The sequence below is a fragment of the Homo sapiens genome, chromosome X (assembly GCF_000001405.40).
Source record: "Homo sapiens chromosome X, GRCh38.p14 Primary Assembly".
In the NCBI taxonomy this organism is placed as follows: domain Eukaryota; kingdom Metazoa; phylum Chordata; class Mammalia; order Primates; family Hominidae; genus Homo; species Homo sapiens.
This window is the reverse complement of record NC_000023.11, coordinates 28,477,988-28,499,219: the sequence shown is the minus strand read 5'-3', so window position 1 is coordinate 28,499,219 and position 21,232 is coordinate 28,477,988. Positions and strand designations below refer to the sequence as shown.

Genomic DNA, 21,232 nt, shown 5'->3' with positions numbered 1-21,232 from the left:
TCTTTTATTTGTCTCAATACTGAGTCAAGGAAGCTTTCTATACCAGCAGTTTTCCCAAAGAAGGGGAAAAAATTCAACATTAAAAACAACCACCTACACAGCCCTCTAAACACGGCTTTCTGAGTTAAAGTATAAAAGATTTGCAATGAGAGAAAATCACATAGAATGTCTATTTCTGTGTAGAGACAAGGAACTAAAGAGGAAACCCAAAATAGGAGGGATGGAAGCGGTGCTGCCAGTGACTCAGTAGGGGACCTTTAGTAAATCACTTAACCTCGTCTCCTTGCCTTTCAAACAAATCCAGACCTGCCCTCACCTCCCAGCCCTTTAATCCCTTTGTCCCATTTATATTGCTTCCCTTGCTTCCTTTGGGCCTCTGATACTTTCCTCCCTCCTTTCGCTATGACTAAACAGAATTCTTTTCTTAATCTCTTTTCTGGGTAGTTTTTTTTTTTTTTTTCCTTCCCTCCTCATCTTGCTCTATATGCCTGGAATGATTCTAATGAGTCAGAGGTATCCTTTTAGAATCACAGTTTCCATAAAACCTTCCTGTAACAAGCTGTAAGTTGCTGCTTACCCTTTTAATTTTGATAATTATTAAAGCGAACAGAAACTTTACTTACTTTTATTTCAAAACTTTTTCCTCATTGTTTATCGAAAGGTATTAAACTTGCTAATAAACTGTATTGGTAAGACTTCACTCAGCAAGAGACACGATGTTTCTTCAGAGCAATTACATCTTGCATTCTCTGCTCCCTTCTTCCTTTTTCCTGACCTGGGTCACGAACACAAATAGATTTTGGGAAATGACACATTTGCCCTAGACCTAGATGGAAGAGGAGTTCAGGTCTTGGCTGAAGAAGAGGATGAAAATAATTAAAGTTTAGAGGTTATACTCTGACCAGATTAAAAGTTCTGCTTTAACCCTGGAATCTAACTATCTATCTGTCTATATATATATATATCTATCTACCTATCTATTCCTTACTTATACTATTGGATTTATTAGAACTTTGGAATTATGTCTAACTACATCTGCAGTGCAGACTGCTTGTAGAAATGCAAAAAATTAGATACATAAACACTTACAACTAATTAATATTGTTCTTAAGTACTGTCTACTTTTATAAAGACTACATTGAATCCATTAAGAAGTAAGAAAGCCTCAGAGACCCACAAATTCTTATGTGAGAAACTGCTTCCTCTACAACTCACTTGGGCTGAAAATTGTTACCTAAGTATGGAAACCAAAACAATCCTGGTGTCAATTTTGGCTTGATTGTATTTCTTGGTAGACTCTTTCCATAACAATCACCAAGGAAAAAAGTAGGGAAGGCAACTTAACTTTTTCTCTAGACATTTAAGATCATTGTATATTCCATTTTATGAACAAGAAGCATCAGATGGGCTGCATCGTTTAGGAATTGCACCAGGACCAATATTTCTGCTGCTGTCTTGGCCCTAAAGCCAATAAGGGGAATTATGGTAGGTAGAGAAACCAACCACTGGTTCCATGCTCTATTATTTCTGTGGATTTACAAGATGCTTCCATTTATCTGTGGGAATGGTTTTGAAACTTCCAACTGTAATGTGTAGTGATTGTCTTTTTTTTTTTTTTTTTTTTTTAAGACGGAGTCTCACTCTGTAGCCCAGGCTGGAGTGCAGTGGCATGATCTGGGCTCAACTGCAACCTCTGCCTCCTGGGTTCAAGCAATTCTCCTGCCTCAGCCTCCCAAGTAGCTGGTATGACAGGCACCCGCCACCATGCCCTGCTAATTTTTGTATTTTTAGTTGAGATGGGGTTTCACCTTGTTGCCCAGGCTGGTCTTGAACTTCTGATCTCAAGTGATCTGCCCACCACGGCCTCCCAGAGTGCTGAGGTTACAGGCATGAGCCACTGCGCCTGGCCGGGATTGTCTGTTTTGATTTTATTTAATTAATTAGTTAATTAATTAATTTATATTTATTTATTTATTTTTGAGACATAGTCTCACTCTGTCGCCGGGGCTGGAGTGCAGTGGTGTGATCTCGGCTCACTGCAACCTCTGCCTCCCGGGTTCAAGCGATTCTCCTGCCTCAGCCTCCCGAGTAGCTGGGATTACAGGCATGTGCCACCATGCCCAGCTAATTTTTCGTATTTTTAGTAGAGGCGGGTTTTCACCATGTTGGCCAGGCTGGTCTCGAACTCCCGACCTAGTGATTCGCCCGCCTTGGGCTCCCAAAGTGTTGGGATTACAGGCGTGAGCCACCGCGCTGGCCTTGTTTTTATTTTTAACGGACGTTTTTGTAAACATTTATAGTTTTAGTAATATATATTTTTATCCATGTATTATTTTGAAGTTAGTTACATGATGCCACTTTCTCAGTTCTTTCTAGCAAAAATTTATTTATTTAACTATCTGATTGGACTGTTAATGGTTCTCTTTCCTTTTTCTTTCCTAATTCATAGAATCAGAGCTATTTTTAGACGATTGTATACTTAAAAAAATTCTACCATAATCAGCTCTTAGAAGCATTAAAATGTTTGGAAGATATGGGGGAAAACAAGAAATACTTTGATATTCTTAGGGGATTTTCCAGGGAAAATATGAGTAGCACTGACCTTTTATATCAAAATTTACCCACTCGAATGGGCACTTCACTGTCAACTTAAATTTTAAGAGGACCTAAAAAGGTTGTCTAGAATATAAATTAATTCAAATGTTGCAAGTTGACATATCACTTGAATTTCATATGATACATATTTTCCTAGATCTTTGGATATAGCACTAAGCATAGGAAAATGCTGAAAGGGGTGGACTACCTAGGGACCTTGGGACTTGAAGAATAAAACGGTGATGTGTTATCTGCGTTTCCTTAATATAGCCCATATATCCCAGACAGGGCTCTTCAGAAGCATCTAACCCGGAACTGCCAATAGCCATGGATAAAAGAAAACTCCAAAAAAAGTACTTTCTTCCCTAGCTAATTGACCAGAAATGGGGTGTCCCAACAATAAAAAAAACCTTTTTGGCAATACATACACCCTCAGCCAAACATCAATAGAAAAAAATGCCCCTGCTTTTGGGATTTCAGTGAAACTTAGTGGGGAGTTGATTTTCACACCACTACCCTACTCTATGAAAGCAGGTGGTGGGACTCGAATTTCTTCCTTCCTTTTCCTAGGGTGGGGCTGAGCACGGACCTAATTTTCTAAATGTGGAGCTAATCTTCCCACTGCTGCCTGGTGGAAGCAGACAGCACTTTTGTCAGCAAGTTAATGGGGCAGTTGAAATTCTGCTTCCATTCAGCAGAACCAGGAAGTGCTCCAATTCCTCTGCCAAGATAGTGTTAGCAGGACTGAGCAGGGACCTGGTCTTTTTGCCTCTCCCTGGCTGTCTCAGGCAGTATTCTGATTCCCCAGCCAGTGTAGTGGCCGTGGGGTCCAGCAGGCAGCTGAGCCTCCTCTGTACCCAGGATTAGTGAGACTTAGGAAGGCAGTACAAATTTGGGTCACCAAGCATTTCATTGATGCCAGGCATTGATGCCAGGTGGGAGTTGAACCTCAGCTCCCCACTGGGCCTTGATGTCAGTAGGGCTCAGTAGGGAACTGACCCTCTATTTCCACCTGCATAAATGAAGCTGAATGAGGTGGTAGGATGTAGAGCTGGTTGACACTCTGCTTTCTCAAACCCTGTGCTTCCCTGGTATTAATGGGGTTTAGCAGACAGTGAGCTTCTGCCCCCATCTGTAGTAACAAAGAGGTATGCATCAGTCCTCTCCTTACCCCTTGCTGGTGTCAGAGTGTCCAGTGGGAAGTCGAGCTTATACTCCTACTCAGAGGCAATGAAGCAATGTGACTCAGTGTCCTACTTTCATCAAGATGGTGTTAACAGGGCCAAAGGTGTGGCTAAACCTCTACCCCACTTATCTGTAGTGAGGCAATGTGAGTCACTGCCCCACTTTTGTCATGATAGTGTTGGTGGGGTTCAGTTGGAAACAGAATATGCATGGCAAACTGCCTTCATGCTACACTTGAACAGGCAATTGTCTGCTAAAAAGAGGAGATGAAATAGGATCCATAGTCTCATAATGTAATATCTAAAATGTCTAGACTATAATGGAAAAATCACTTGCTATACGAACAATCAGAAAAATCACAGCATGAATAAAAAGAACCAACGAACTGATAAAACACCAAGGTGGTTGAAAGCAAGGTGAATCAGATCTTCGCATTATCTGATAAGGTTTTTAAAGCAGCCATCATCAAAATGTGTCAACAAGCAATTACATATACTCTTGAAACAAAGGAAAAAAATAGAAAACCTCAGCAAAGAAATAGAAATTATAAAAAAGAACAAAATGGAAATCATAGAACTGAAAAGTGTAGTAATTAAAATAAATTCAATAGGTGGGCTCAAGAGTACATTGGAGATCACAAGAAGATAGAATCAGTGAACTTAAGTACAGATTATTGGAATGCACTCAGTTTGAAATTTATCTCAACTCAGGGGAGAAAAGAGACCTGGCAGAAAATGAACAAAGTATCAGGGAACTTTAGGACAATAACAACTCAGGGGAGAGAAGAGACCGGGCAGAAAATAAACAAAGTATCAGGGAACTTTTAGGACAATAACAAAGATCTAACATTTGTATCATCAGAGTCTGAGAAGAACAAAAACATTTAAAGAAATAATGGTTGAAAACTCTCCAAATTTAGTGAAAGCCATATCCTATAGATTCAAAAAGCTGAGGAAACTCCAAGTAGGATAAACCTAAAAAAATGTATGCAAAGACACAACAAAATTAAACTTGTGAGAACTAAACAAAAAGAAAAGAATTAAAAGCAGACAGACAGAAACAACATATTGCATATAGAGGAATACCACCTTGAATTGCAGTAAATTTCCCACCCTAAAACTATGCAATTTAGAAGGCGTGGTGCAAGATTTTTCAAGTACTGAAAGGAAGTAAATATCAACCCAGAATTCTGCATCCAGCAAAAATATTCTTCAGGAATAAACGGGAAATAAAGACATTCTCAGGTGAAGGAAACCTACAAGAAGGAAACTTATGATACTTTGTTGCAAGTAAAAGCACCCTTAATGAAAGGCTAAAGGAAGTTCTCTAAACAGAAAGGAAATGATAACAAATGAAGGCTTGGAACTTCAAAAAGGAAAGAAAAGCATCAGAATGAGTAAGAATGGGGTAATATATTGAAGACTAGTCTTCTCATGAGTTTCATACACTATATTTGATGTTTGAAGCAAAAATTATGACATCATTAGATGTGATGCTCAATGTATCTAGAGTAAATAATTAAGATCATTATATTTAAAATTTAGGAAAGGTAAAAGGACCTAAATGGTAGTAAGATTTCTACACTTCACTCAAAGTGATAAACCATTAATAGAAGTGATAGCTTACTTACATGCATTGTAACACCTAGAGCAACCACTAAGAAAACAATATAAGATGATATGTTCAAAAGATACTGATATAATTTAGCTTTGTCCCCGCCCAAATCTCATCTTGAATTGTATCTGTCATAATTCCCATTTTTGTGGGAGGGACCTGGTGGGAGATAATTGAATCATGGCAGCGGTTTCCCCCATACTGTTCTTGTGGTAGTGAATAAGTCTCAAGATCTGATGGTTTTATAAGGAGAAACCCGTTTCACCTGGCTTCTCACTCTCTCTTTGCCTGCCGGCATCCATGTAAGATGTAACTTGCTCCTCCTTGCCTTCTGCCATGATTGTGAGGCTTCCCCAGCCACGTGGAACTGTAAGTCCAATTAAACCTCTTTCTTTTGTAAATTGCCCAGTCTCAGGTAAGTCTTTATCAGCAGCATGAAAATGGACTAATACAGATATATAAATAATCAAGATTATATCCTAAAAAATGTACAAGCAACTCATAGGAAGTTAAGAAAAAGACAAACGGAGGAACAAGAAACAGAGAAAACAAATAGAAAACAAACAATAACATGGCAGACTTAAGCCTTAACATATAAATAATTACTTTAAATGTAAATGGTCTAAATACACCAATTAAGAGAGAGAGATTGGCAAAGTGGGTTAAAAATATGATCCAACAATATCTTTCCTATAGGAAACTGACTTCAAATACAATTACATAGGTAGACTGAAAATAAATGGATGAAAAAAGATACACTATGCAAACATTAATTGTTAAAAAGGAAGAGAATATATCAATATCAGATAAAGTAGATTTCACAGAAAAGAAAATTACTGACAACGATAGACATTACATAATGATAAAAGAATCAATTCACCAAAAATATATAATGATACTGAATGCATGTGCACCAAAAAACAGGCCTCAAAATACTTGAGGTAAAAACTGATAGAGCTGAAAGGAGAAATAGATAAATCCACAGCTATAGTTGAGGACTTTAACATTCCACTCTCAGAAACTGATAAAACTACTGGACAGAAAATCAGCAAGGATATAAAAGAACTGAACAATACAACCAGCCAAAAAGGTCTAATTGACATATATACCACAATCCACCCCAAAATAGTAAAATACACTATTTTTTTTTCAAGAACCCATGAAACAGTCACTAAGATATACCATATATCGGGCCATTAACATATCTCAACAAATTAAGACTAGAAAGTGTGTGAAATTTGTTCTTTGACCATAATAGAGTCTAACTAGAAATAAATAACAAAGACATCAGGAAAATATCCATGCACTTGAATATTAAAGAACATGCTTTTAAATCTTACGTAAGTCATGGAGGAACACTCAAAGAAAATGTAAAAAATACATAAAACTCAGTGAAAATAAAAACAAAACATATCAAAATGTGGAACATTGCTAAGCCATATGAGAGGAAAATACAAAAAATGTACAACTCGAGATTTATGAAAAAGTTACATAATCAAAATTGTGTGATATTGGCATCAAAGTAGACCTTGGATTAGGTAATGGATTCTTAGATATGATACCGAAAGCCTAAGCAACAAAAGAAAAATATCAAGAAGTTGGACTTCAAGAACGTTTACTAAGCACAAGAAAAGTTTCTCAATATCATTAGTCATTAGGAAAATGCAAATCAAACCCACGATGACATACCATTTCACACCCATTAAGACGGCTGAAATAAAAAAAGAAAGAAAAATTACAAGTGTTAGTGACGATGTGGAAAAACTGGACTCCCCTTACGTTGCTGGTGGGAATGTAAAGTGGTGCAGCTGCTTTAGAAAACAGCCTGCCAATTATCCAAAAAGTTGAGCATAGGGTTACTATATGAGTCTGCAATTACACTCCTAGGTATATGCCCAAGAGATATGACAACTTATGTTCACACAAATACTTGTACATAAATGTTCATAGCAGCATTATTTGTAGTGGCCAAAAAGTGGAAACAACCCAAATGTCCATCAATAGATCAATGAATAAACGAAATGTGTATATTCCTATAACAGAATACTATTTAGCCATAAAAAGGACTGAGTACTAATATATGCTACAATGAATCTCAATAACATTATGATAAATTATAGAAGCTGAACACAAAAAGCCACACATTGTATAATTCCATTTATATAAAATGTCCAGAATAAGCAAATTTATAGAGACAGAAAGCTGATTCATGGTTTCCAGGGGCTGGAGGTGGGGAGAGTGACTGCTAATGGGTACAGGGTTTTTTTATGGGGTAATAAAAATGCCCTGAAATTGATTACAGTATGGTTGCACAACACTGTAAATATACTAAAAGCCATTGAAATGTACACTTTAATGGGTAAACTTTATGGCATGTAAATCTTGTCTCAGTAAAGCTGCTAACATAAAAGTGAATATGATATTAATGTAATAGACTAGGTTAGATGAATTTGAATACCTGAATGCCTTTTGTGCAAATATAAAAATAGTTATTTAGAACAAAAAGAGACATTTAAATTGAATTCCACTCAAGCCATATCTTCTTGAACAACTGTGCCAGGCACTGTGTTGGGTGTGCTTTGGCAGATACAGAAATGAATTAAAAAAGCAATTCTTTACCTTTGAGAACTTACACTCAGTGGAGGAAGAGACATATATAAGTATTTGTAATCTAAGATGGTCTTTTTCGCATAATATGTTTCATTTATTCAGATGTAGCACCAATACATGAAAATACAGAAGTTAATAACAAAATCGTCTTTAGGAACCTTACGTAGGTAAACCATATTTTCTTCTTGTTGAGCCTCCAGTAGCATTTATAAGAAATAGGAAATCTGAAGCCTGGTGCTAGGCTTTTTAAAATACATCTTAGTTCAAGTCAACTATCATTCTTCTTGTTCCAATCATATTCTTATTACTAATACTTAAAGACTCGCTTTTGGACAATTGTTTGTGAACTCAACCTGCTTGGCTCTTCCATATTAACTTGGAATGATCACTATTTCTAACTGTAATTCTTGACTAGGCTAATAATGTTTGGAATTAATTGACTAGCTTATCAATGTGGAAAGATCTACTTGATGTATCTGACTGGGCAATTTTCTGTGGGTTGTGTCGGCTCATTAAAAATTCTGTGAAGAATATAGTGATTGACAGAAAAGCTTCCCTAAAGCAGCATTTATTTTGGAGATACATTACTTTTTACTAGTGAACTTGGCAGCTTGACCTAATGTAAACTGATTGGAATTAACAATCACACAGCAAGCTACTAATGTCCATGTTGAGAGGGGAGTATTGTGCAATCAAACGCAGTTAATGATCTCTTGATAAATCACAAAGTTAGGACTAAACGTTATTTAATCTGAAGTAGAAGAAAAGAAAATTGTTATATCTTAGGTAAAGGTCTAGCATTGTACATTTACCTATATCTTTTCACTCTCACTCATCTAAACCTAATATTGGGAGGGCATGTGTTAGGAATTTCCCTTTCTTACAGAACATCGAACTAACTAATAAATGAATAGCAGCTATCTGAACACATTTGGTAGTAGCATAATGTGCTGTCTGCCCTAGAGTTGGCCTATCTGGGTTTAAATCCCACTTCTACCACTTAATAGCTTATTAACTTTGTCAAGCCTCTATCTTTCATTGAGTTTTAGTTTTCTCATCCACGTAATGGGAATAAAAATAGAACATTTCATGGGGGATATTTGGGATTTTTGAATAAGATGATACATACAAAGTGTTTAGCATACTGCCTGGCACTTAGAAGCACTCCATAAATATGCATCATTATTGGTATTAACCATTATTTCTATCAAAGAATGGAACTTGGACAAATAGTTGGGATATACTATCACCATAAGGATGAATGTGGGCCACAGACACAATATTGGAAACTGGATTTTTAAAGGCATCTGGGATCAAGGCAAACAGAAGAGATCACCCAAAGAATTGTAGAGGCCAAAAAGCTAATCCCACTCACAATAATCTATTTACATTTCAGTCTCACAGATACCTGCAAAGGTACTGAGTCTGAAAGGTAAGGTGTTCCACTGCCTCTTAAGGTGGAAATGGTAACATTTCCTTGTTAACCCCAATTTAACTATGCTCTTAATTACATCTCTATTAGACAATCAGAAAGCAGATGAGCTTGTTATGTTTATTTCTCTTTAACAAACTGCTCTCAAATTTAGTGTCTTAAAACAACCATTTCTTTGCTCACTCTTTTGTGGGTCAGGAATTCAGAAAGGGCTTGACTAGTGGAATTTCTCTGATCACATGGTTTCAGCTAGGAAGGTTTGTCACAGGATAGGTTAGTCATTCACATACTTAGCGCCTTGAGACTCCTTGCCTGTCCCTCTCTTCACATGAATCTCATTTTCCATAGCCTTTCCAGGTTGGTTTGTGGTTCCTGATGGCTTGGTGGTCTCAAGGTAGTTGGACTCCTTACAAGGGAGCTGGCTTGCCCCAGAGTGAGGTTCCAAGAGGCAGGAAGTAGATATTGTCAGTCTTTTAAGCATGGGCCCAGACCCTGACACAGTGTCACTTTTGCAATTTTTTTTTTTTTTTTTTTTTGAGACAGAGTCTTGATCTGTCACCCAGGCTGGAGTGCAGTGGCACCATCTCGGCTCACTGCAAACTGCGCCTCCCAGGTTCACACCATTCTCCTGCCTCAGCCTCTCGAGTAGCTGGGACTACAGGCGCCCACCACCACGCCCGGCTAATTTTTTGTATTTTTAGTAGAGACGGGGTTTCACTGTGTTAGCCAGGATGGTCTCGATCTCCTGACCTCGTGATCCGACTGCCTCAGCCTCCCAAAGTGCTGGGATTATAGGTGTGAGCCACCGCGCCCGGCCACTTTTGCAATTTTCTATTGTTCAAAGCAGTTAAGAGCTTACCCAGATTCAAGGAAAGGTGATATAGACCCCACCTCTCAATGGGAGACGACCAGAGATTTTGTAGCCATTTTTGATTTACCACAGAGCTACATGCCTATATGAATAAAGTTTTTCTTAGCACTATCATTTGTTTGTTTGCTCATTAATGAAGCATTGGCCTATGGAATATAAAAATATCATGGAATTATTTATAAAATTAAAGTTGACATCAAATGTCATATTATATTTTGTAGATGCTGAAAGTCTCCTTTGCTTTTGAGTTAATTTAGTAGCTTTTTAAATTCCATTCGAGTGCTCTATGTACATAGATAAAAATTTTGAATGAAATGGAGACATACAAAGCCATTTGCAATTATATTCTCAATAGAGCTCTCAGTTTCATAATATAAAATAGGTCAGAAGTAATAGAGTAAATTCATTAAAACAGAAAAATTTGTGAAAGCAAAAAAAATTCTATAGCTAAAATATATGTTCCTAATGCAGGTTGTTATAATAGGCTCATTATTTAAGAATAATTATCTGCATCCAGGGAACACTCTTTTTAAGTCATATTGTTATTAACATAAAAATTGCTATCCACCTAATTTATTCCTGTTACATGTCTTCTATTTCCACTTGAATCAGAAAGCGTTCCATGTAGTTTTTGCTAATAAGAATTGTTCCAAGTATGAGAATTTTTTCTATTTTCCGTATTCCTAAATTTTACAATGCTATTAGCCTGTCTGCCTAATGTCACTTAAGTATGCGGCTGACAGAGAACCTCTCAAAATCCCTGGCCTTACAATAAAAGTTACCAAAGCTTCATCTTGTTTCCCTTTTGCTTATGCAGATGAACATGAGTGATATCTGGCCTAATGTAAGTGATTGTATCCTTTACATGTGATCGGTGTAAAGGATACAGTCATTTTGAAAGTTTGGTCATGTATTTTCATATACAGAAAGTGGTGATCAAATGTGCATGACGAGGTTGTTTACCAGAGTTGAGGAGGCCTAGGAGCAAGATAATGAACAACTGGGGATCTGACTTGATGCATCATAATGAGTCTGATATTATCAAATTTAGAAAAATGTTTCTCTGCCTCAGTGTGTTTTTGGACTGCATTAATTCTGGAAACTGTCTTTGTGGGGTGTGTGTGTGTGTGGTTGCTGACTGGGTACCTGGGGAGAATGAGAAGGCATGGTTTTATTTCATACTGAGAATTTGAAGCTGAACTTATCTTGGATTGCTCAGTTTGGGAAAGACTAACGCTTATTCAAGGAGTGTGTTGTCTTAAAAGGGTGAGGAATAGCATGGGGGAGCCTCTCTTGAAGGAATGGAGGGATAGGTGGCACGGGACACAGGGCAGTTAGTTTGCAAAATAAGGTCTGTTCTAATGGGGCATTTCCTTAAATAATTACATTTTGTCATTTTTCTTTTCCCTTGCTGTGTGAATGGCATAGTTCAAGAAGAGTTTTGACTTGTTTTACTCTGATGTTACCCCCTAGACTTAACAATATAGCAGGCATCAAAAAGAGTGTCACCATCACCACACTATTCTTTGGTGAGACCAGGGTGAAAACAGCAGTATAGAATTGAGGAAGACAATCATGCTGAATTTCTATGTAGCATCCTGGTGTGTGAGGCCAGAATAATGGATCCTCAGAGATGTCCATGTCTTAATCACCTAAACCTGTGACTATTTTATGTTATATGGCAAAAAGAACTTTGCAGATGTGATTAAGAATATTGAGGTGGGGAGATTATCCTGGATTATCTAGGTTGGCCCTAAATGTATTCACAAGGGTTATTATAAGAGGGAGGCAAGAAAGCCAAAATCAGAGAGAGATTTGAAGATGCTATACTGCTGGCTTTGAAGATGGATGAAGGGGCTCTGAACCAAGGAAAGCAGGTGACTTCTAGAAGCTGGAAAAGGCAAGGGTATCTATCCTCTGTAGAACTTTCATAAGGAATATCATGCTGCTGACACTTTCTAGCCTCATAAAATGCATTTTGCACTTGCGACCTCCAAATCTATAAGATAATACAGTTGTGTTGTGTTAAAACATTAAGCTTGTGTTAGTTTGTTACAGCAGCAATAAGAAACTTATATACCTGGCAATGGCAAGGAAGATCATAGGTGTGGAACAGCAGATGGCAACTGAACGGTTCCTGGGTGGAACTAACAGGTCCATTATTCCACAAATATACCAGAGGGGGATTTACTTCAAAGTTTAAGATGCCAACCTTGGGCATATTACTTATTATAGAAACCCAAGGCAGAGGGGTGGGAATATAAAATGATATAGCCTTTATGGAGGGTGATTTGTCAGGAAAGAACAAAATTTCATGTGCAATTCTATTTTTTGGTGTCTTCCCTAGAGAAACCTTTGCACATGAGTACATGGCTGCATCTAACTGGCTGCGTCTAAAAGGACAACCAATTTATAAGTAAAAATATGGCAACAACTTAAGTTCCTACCAACAGAGGACGACTAATAATGACATATTCATGTTATGGAATACTATGAGACAGTTAAAAAAAGAAAGTGGATCCTAATGGCCTGGCATGCAAAACTCTACAAGGACTGTATCGTTCAGTGAAGAAAAGATGAAAAAATTGTATCTAGAACATGACATTAATGTAAAAATACTTACATATTTTATGGATATTGTAGAAGCAAAAATTGACATTTTGCTTTGCTTCCAACATCACTAAGCAATTCATTACCATAATAAATGATAATAAGGATAATAAGAGGGTCACCCTTACCTAAAATTTCCCCCAAGATACTATTATCCTGGAGAGTGGAACAAAATCTTGAATATTTTCTATAAACTTGAATTCCTAACAAAATTAATGTTTTGCTATGCTGATATCTGAAGATATGTTGTGTGACCTTTGTTAATATCACCATCTTGTGAAAACTTTGGTATATTCCATCATTCTCAGGTTCATGTAAACTGGGTAACCTTGGCAATTCTGTCATTTTTTCTTTAGATACTTGTGTTTGCCATGACAGCCTTTCTGAACTATGACTTCCTTGCACTCGTTGCACATAAACTTTTTCTTTCCTTTTTCAAACGATTGTGACTCTGGATCTTCCTCTGATATTGCATCAGCATGTTTTTGAATGTGTACAAAATATCAAGAAGTGCACATACTAAAGTAATAACAATAGAGTAGTCAAATGAGATTTGAGTCTTTTTGCCATATTTCATTTTTATTAGGTGAATTTATTTAATTAAAATGAATTTTTATAAAGATTTAAGAAAGATTTTTAAATATATTTTAAAATTTTAATATTAACATTTAAAATAGTAATATTTTAAAATGTTAAAAATATATACATACTTTTGAAAACTATGTATGTCGAGCTGACTAATGCTGTTATTTTCTTCCCGAGGCAAAAAATTGCAACAGAGCTAATGGGTTTTACTCTGTAGTTTCAGTTCCCTCTTCATTTCCATTTCCAAAGAGCAGGAATTAGAGAAGAGAGAGACACAATTTTCTAAGGGAGAAATTTGTCGAATTTGAATTTTCAAAGGAAACTGCTAATTTGATGGGAGGAGCCCCATTGCCACTGGTAGATGGAATGAGAATGGAGAAAACCCAAGTGAGTGCCCAAAAAAGGTGTTCTTAAAGCACTTGCCTGACATGTACCAACTCCAGTTTAGCCCCCATCTCCTGTTAATTAATCTAAGCTATGTATGTTTTATGTAAAGTCCCTTGATAAACTTCCTCTAGACCATTGCACAAACTACTGATGTCTGTATTACAGAAATGATTTAAGTAGTGATTTCCAAACCAAAGCATTATTAAAGATCAATCATCTATACAATGTATATTCACTCCTGTAGACTTAAAGGAGAGAGAAAGGTTTCCCTGCTATTTCCTGGCTACGTGAAGAATTTAGACAAATTCCTTAACAGTTCTCTGCTTCATAATCCTTATCTGTAAAAGTTTATGCTTCTCTTAATGGTTTCTGGGAGGACTAAATGAGGTAGTGTGCTTAAAGCATCTATCAGGAGTCACTTAGCACATCACTGGAGGGCCTTAAATGTTAGTCTCCTTTCTGTTTCCACCAAATCAGTTAAAGGTTTTATTTACTTATTTATTTATTTATTTATTTATTTATTTATTTATTTATCTATTTATTTTTAAGACGGAGTCTCGCTCTGTCGCCCAGGCTGGAGTGGAATGGAGCGATCTGGGCTCACTGCAAGCTCCGCCTCCCGGGTTCACGTCATTCTCCTGCCTCAGCCTCCCGAGTAGCTGGGACTACAGGCGCCCGCCACCATGCCCGGCTAATTTTTTTGTATTTTTAGTAGAGACGGGGTTTCACCATGTTAGCCAGGACGGTCTCGATCTCCTGACCTCGTGATCCGCCCGCCTCGGCCTTCCAAAGTGCTGGGATTACAGGTGTGAGCCACCACGCCCTGCCAGTTAAAGGTTTTATCTGTAAAACCAACTGTAGATAGACAAGCCCAAACCTCTCATATTACAGATGTGGAAACTGAAGTGCAGAGAGGTTAAATGACTCTGCTAAGGCCAAGGCAACAGTGGCAGAGCCAGTAAAAGAACCCAGTTTTCATAATTAAATATGTCACAATATGAATAGTCTAATTGTTTTGATGTGATTATTTATTTTGTTTCCTTCACTTTCTTTCCAAAAAGAAGACATCCAGATCCTTTCCCAGTTCCCATGGTTTCTAAGATGGTATTGAGGACAAAAACCTACCCCATGCTGCCTTGCTCCCACTCCACAATGAGTTGATCGTGCTGTGGGTCTAATAAGCTATTAAGGTCTATTGTTGAAGATAAAAGAAGGCAAGTACCAATGGAGGAAGAAAGGATTTCTCCTAGCCAGGAGTTCTCAACCTGGGCTGACCACTGGAATAACCTTGGAGGGTTTAAAACTTTCTGATACTTGAGTAGCACTATCCACCATCCAGATATTCTTATTTGATTAGTCTGGGTGGGCCCCTGGCATTGAATCATCTCAGGTAGTTCTACTTAAATTAAAACAAAAATTCTTTAATTAAAAAATTTTTGAAACAGGCTTCTGCCTTGTCACCCAGGCTGGAGTGCAGTAGCATGATCATAGCACACTGCAGCCTTGACCTCCCAGGCTCAAGTGATTGCTCCACCACAGCCTCCAGAGTACCTGGGACTACAGGTGTGCACCACCATGCCTGGCTACTTTTTTTTTTTTTTTTTTTTTTTGAGACGGAGTCTCGCTCTGTTGCCCAGGCTGGAGTGCAGTGGCACCATCACGGCTCACTGCAAGCTCCGCCTCCCGGGTTCACGCCATTCTCCTGCCTCAGCCTCTGGAGTAGCTGGGACTACAGGCGTCCGCCACCACGCCTGGCTAATTTTTTGTATTTTTAGTAGAGACGGGGTTTCACCGTGTTAGCCAGGATGGTCTCAATCTCCTGACTTCGTGATCTGCCTGCCTCAGCCTCCCAAAGTGCTGGGATTACAGGCGTGAGCCACTGCGCCCGGCCCTGGCTAATTTTTTTTTTTTTTTTTTTTTTTTTTTTTTGTCAACATGGGGCCTCCCTATATTGCCCAGGCTGGTCTCAAACTCCTGGGCTCAAGAGATCCTCCCACCTTAGCCTCCCAAAATGTTGGGATTACAGGCATGAGCCACCATACTTGGACAGCCCAGGTGAGTTTAATGGTTAACTCAAAGTTGAGAATCATCACTTTATTTTATTCCCATTTGCCCATCATTATATCTGGAGCAAAAAATAATTAAATCTTAAAATTTACCTACTGGTAGGTTTGCATTCAAGGTTTCTGAAATTCCAAGTAGGATGTACCAACCCACCAACTGAACATAGCATTTTAGGTTTCCCACATGGTACATGACAGCTATTATGTTAGTCAATCTAAGCTGCATAGATGATTTCATCATTTTTGATACCTTATTTTGGTCATTGTCAACTTTTTTTTTTTTTTTGAGGCGGAGTCTCACTCTGTCCTCAGGCTGGAATGCAGTGGCGTGATCTTGTCTCACTGCAACCTCCGCCTCCAGGGTTCAAGTGATTCTCCTGCCTCAGCCTCCCGAGTAGCTGGGACTACAGGCGCCCGCCACCACACCCAGCTAATTTTTTGTATTTTTAGCAGAGACGGGATTTCACCATGTTGGCCAGGATGGTTGCGATCTCTTGAACTTGTGATCCGCCCGCCTCGGCCTCCCAAAGTGCTGGGATTACAGGCGTGAGCCACCACACCCGGCCCATTGTCAACATTTTTGAAAGCCCATTTTTGAATTAAAAACACTACATAAAGTCAGGAAACAACAGATGCTGGAGAGGATGTGGAGAAATAGGAACACTTTTACACTGTTGGTAGGACTGTAAATTAGTTCAACCATTGTGGAAGTCAGTGTGGTGATTCCTCAAGGATCTAGAATTAGAAATACCATTTGACCCAGTGATCACATTACTGGGTATGTACCCAAAGGATTATAAATCATACTACTATAAAGTCACATGCACACATATGTTTATTGCGGCACTATTCACAATAGCAAAGACTTGGAACCAACCCAAATGTCCATCAATGATAGACTGGATTAAGAAAATGTGGCACATATACACCATGGAATACTATGCAGCCATAAAAAAGGATGAGTTCATGTCCTTTGCAGGGACATGGATGAAGCTGGAAACCATCATTCTCAGCAAACTATCACAAGGACAGAAAACTAAACACCGCATGTTCTCACTCATAGGTGGGAACTGAACAATGAGAACACTTGGACACAGGGCGGGGAACATCACACACCAGGGCCTGTTGTGGGGGTGGGGGCTGGAGGAGGGATAGCATTAGGAGAAATACCTAATGTAAATGACGAGGTGATGGTTGCAGCAAACCAACATGACACATGTATACCTATGTAACAAACCTGCATGTTGTGCACATGTACCCTAGAACTTAAAGTGTAATAATATAAAAAAAAACTACAAAAAGTGACATTAAATAAAAAGGCTAAATAAAGGCACACACTAAATTTGAATCCAAACTTTAAAAAAAAATCTACCTATGTGAAAATGATAATACAACCACCCTGGGAACCAAAGAAAGCAATTATTTATTTTAAGACAGTGTCTCACTCTGTCACCCAGGCTGGAGTGCATTGGCAGGATCTCAGCTCACTGCAACCTCCATCTCCTGGGTTCAAGTGATTCTTGTGCCTCAGTTTCCCAGGTAGCTGGGATTACAGGCACGTGCCACCAAGCGCAGCTAACTTTTGTACTTTTTTTTAGTGGAGATGGCATCTCGGCCTGTTGGCCAGGCTGGTCTAGAAATCCTGACCTCAGGTGATCTGCCCGCCTCGCCCTCCCAAAGTGTTGGGATTACAGGTGTGAGCCACCACACTCAGCCAATTATTTAAGTATTTTTTGATGAAAGCCTCTGTACAAACTCAGTGCTATATATTCTAAGAACAAGAAGAATGGCAAAATATCTTGAACTTACTATGTTTATTGTTAATAGTGGTTTTGGTGTAGTAAATCGGCAACTTTTTTGTGTTTGTTGTAAGATAGAGAAAGTGAGTAATTATATAGATGTTAGGGGAACCAGGCCTATCAATGTGGGAAAAGGAAGAATGATACAACTATGAAGTAGAGAAGAGTGAGAAAAACACTGCAACATTACATTGAAAAAAGAGTTATCAGTCTGAACCATGATTTTTTAAAAATCCGAGCACTGCTCATTGAAAAGGTTTAGAAGCAACGTCATATTCTAAGAATGCTGAGCATGCTTTGTTGTTTCTAAATAACTTTCCTCACTAAGAGGAACTGAGACTCCATGGAGAAGTTCTGGACTCTCAGTCTGGAGCAGGTGAGGCATAAGGTGAAACTGAATCAGCTCATTGGGCTGGAAAGCAAGAACGTGATTTAAAAAGCACTGGGACATTTCAAAAGGAACATAGAATTTGAACATATATTTCTCCAAAGCAGATATACAAATGGCCAATAAGGACCTGAAAAGATGCTCAACATTATTAATCATCAAGGAAATGCAAACCAAAAACATAATGAGATACCACTTCATACACACTAGGATGGCTACAATTTAAACAACAGAAAATAAAACGTTTTGGCAAGGATGTGTAGAAATTGAAATTGTTGTATATTGCTGGTGGGATTATAAAATGGTGCAGCTGCTTTGGAAAACATTCTGGTAGTTCCCCAAAAAGTTAAACAAAGAGCTACCATATGACCCAAGAATTCAACTGAGGCATATAACCAAGAGAATTATAAACAAATGTGCACACAAAACTGTGTACAGGAATGTTCATAGCAACATTATTCACAATAGTCAGAAAAGGAAACAACCCAAATGTTCATCAGCAGACGATTAGATAAACAAAACTATGAGATACCCTTACAATGTAACATGACTCAGCCATAAGTATTGATACATGGTACAACCAGGATACACCTTGAAAACATTATGCTTAGTGAAAGAAGCCAAACATAAAATGACACATATTGTATGAATCTATTTATAGGAAATATCCTGAATAGGCAAACCCACAGAAATGAAAAATAGATTAGTGTTTGCCAGGGAATGGGGTGAATGGTTAATAAAGAGTGACAATTTTTTGTTTGTTTTGTTTTGTTTGAGACAGAGTCTCGCTCTGTTGCCCAGGCTGGAGGGCAGTAGTGAGGTCTCGGCTCACTACAGCCTAAACCTCCCAGGTTCAAGCTATTCTCCTGCCTCAGCCTCCTGAGTAGCTGGGATTACAGGCACCCACCACCACACCTGGCTAATTTTTGTATTATTGGTAGAGACAGGGTTTTTACCATGTTGGCCAGGCTGGTCTTGAACTCCTGACCTCTCCTATTTAATGAATAGGAAGTTTCTTTCTAAGGTGATGAAAATACTCTGTAGTTAGGTAGTGGTGATTGTTGCTCAACATTGTGAATATACTAAAACTCACTAACTTGTACAATGTAAAATAGATAAAATGCACATTCTTGGCCAGGCGCGGTGGTTCATGCCTGTAATCCCAGCACTTTGGGAGGCAGAGGCAGGCGGATCACAAGGTCAGGAGATCGAGACCATCCTGGCTAACACGGTGAAACCCCGTCTCTACTAAAAATACAAAAAATTAGCCGGGCATGGTGGTATGCACCTGTAGTCCCGGCTACTCAGGAGTCTGAGGCAAGAGAATCTCTTGAACCCAGGAGGAGGAGGTTGCAGTGAGCCGACATGGTGCCACCGCACTCCAGCCTGGGCAACAGAGCAAGACACCATCTCAAAAAAAAAAAAAAAAGAAAAAAATTGCACACTCTTCTCAACTGTGCATTGAACATCCTCCAGGAAAGAGCATATGTTAAACCACAAAACAAATCTTAAAAAACTTAAGAAGATTGAAATAATATAAAGTATTTTCTGACCATGATGGTATAAAACAATCAATAACAGAAAGAACTTCAGAAAATGTATAAATACATGGAAATTAAACAATATGTTCCTGAACAATCAATGGGTCAATGAAGAAGTTAAAGGAAAAATTAAAAGAATTGTTTTGGACAAGCATGGAAATACAACACACCAAAACCTATGGGACACAGCAAAAGCAGTTCCAAGGGGGAAGTTTATAGGAATAATTGCCTACATTAAAAAAGAAGAAATATCTCAATAAACCACTTAATGGTGCACCTCGACAAACTGGGAAAACAAGAATAAAGTAGCCTAACGTTAGCAGAAAGAAGGAAATCATAAAGATCAGAGTAGAAATAAATGAAATAAAGACTAGAAAAACAATAGAAAAGATCAAAAAATTGAATTATTATTTTGGAAAGATAGAAATATTGACAAACCATTAGCTAGACCAAGAAAAAAGAGAAGAGTGAAATAGATAAAATCAAAAATGAAAAGAGAGACATTACAAGGGATACAACAGAAAAACAAAATATCAGAAGAGACTATTAGTTACAATTATATGCCAACAAATTGGATAACTTAGAAGAAATGGTTAAATTTCTTGCCACACACAACCTACTAAAATTGAATTATGAATAGAAAATCTCAACCGACCAATAATGAGTTAGGAAGACTACTCAGTAATAAAAAGTCTCCTATCAAAGAAAAGCCCAGGACCTGATGGCTTCACTGCTAAATTCCAGCAAACATTTTAAAAAGAACTAAAATTAATGCTTCCCAAATTCCTCCAAAGATTTGAAGAGGAGGAACACTTCCAAACCCATTTTATGAGACCAGCATTAATCTGATACCAAAGTAAGGCAAGAACATTGCAATAAAACTACAGGCCAATATCCATGATAAACATAGGTGTAAAAATCCTCAAAAAATATCAGCAAACTGAATTTAACAGCACATGAAAAAGATTATTGGCCATGATCAAGTGAGATTCAGCCCAGGGATGCAAGGATGATTCACATATGCAAATCAATAAGTGTAATACATCAGCTTAACAGAATGAAGGACAGAAACCATATGATCATTTCAATAGATGTAGAAAGAACATTTGATAAAATTCAACATCCTTTCATGATAAAAACTCTCAACAAATTACGTATAGAAGAAATGTACCGCAACATAATAAATGCCACATATAAACACAGCTAACATTATACTAAATGGGGAATAGTTGAAAACTTTACTTTTAAGATCCAGAACAAGACAGATGCTCACTTTTGCCACTTCCATTCAACATAGTACTGGAAGACACAGCTACAGCAATTAGGCAAGAGAAAGAAATAAAATACATCAAAGGCTGAGTATGGTGGCTCATGCCTGTAATCCCAGCACTTTGGGAGGCCAAGGTGGGCAGATTGCTTGAGCCCAGGAATTTGAGACCAGCCTGGGCAACATGGCAAAGACCGTTTCTACAAAACAGAAAAAATAGCTGGGTGTGGTGGCGTGCACCTGTGGTCTCAGCTATTTGGGAGATTGAGGTGGGTGGGTTGCTTG

General features: G+C 38.1%; 1 non-coding gene across 1 annotated transcript, besides 1 other annotated feature; it reads left to right on the top strand.

Annotated features, from left to right (window-relative positions):
• Positions 12 to 537: an enhancer, noted in NCBI's record as "OCT4-NANOG hESC enhancer chrX:28516800-28517325 (GRCh37/hg19 assembly coordinates)". NCBI's record gives its function as "activates a minimal SCP1, AML or CMV promoter by ChIP-STARR-seq in naive H9 embryonic stem cells {active_cell/tissue: H9 hESC(naive)}" and the evidence as "EXISTENCE:reporter gene assay evidence [ECO:0000049][PMID:30033119]".
• MIR6134 (microRNA 6134) lies at positions 3,557 to 3,665 on the top strand. The gene has a single exon (NR_106750.1). It is a non-coding gene; the product is annotated as a microRNA 6134 (primary transcript).
• The last annotated feature ends 17,567 nt before the right edge of the window (positions 3,666 to 21,232 follow it).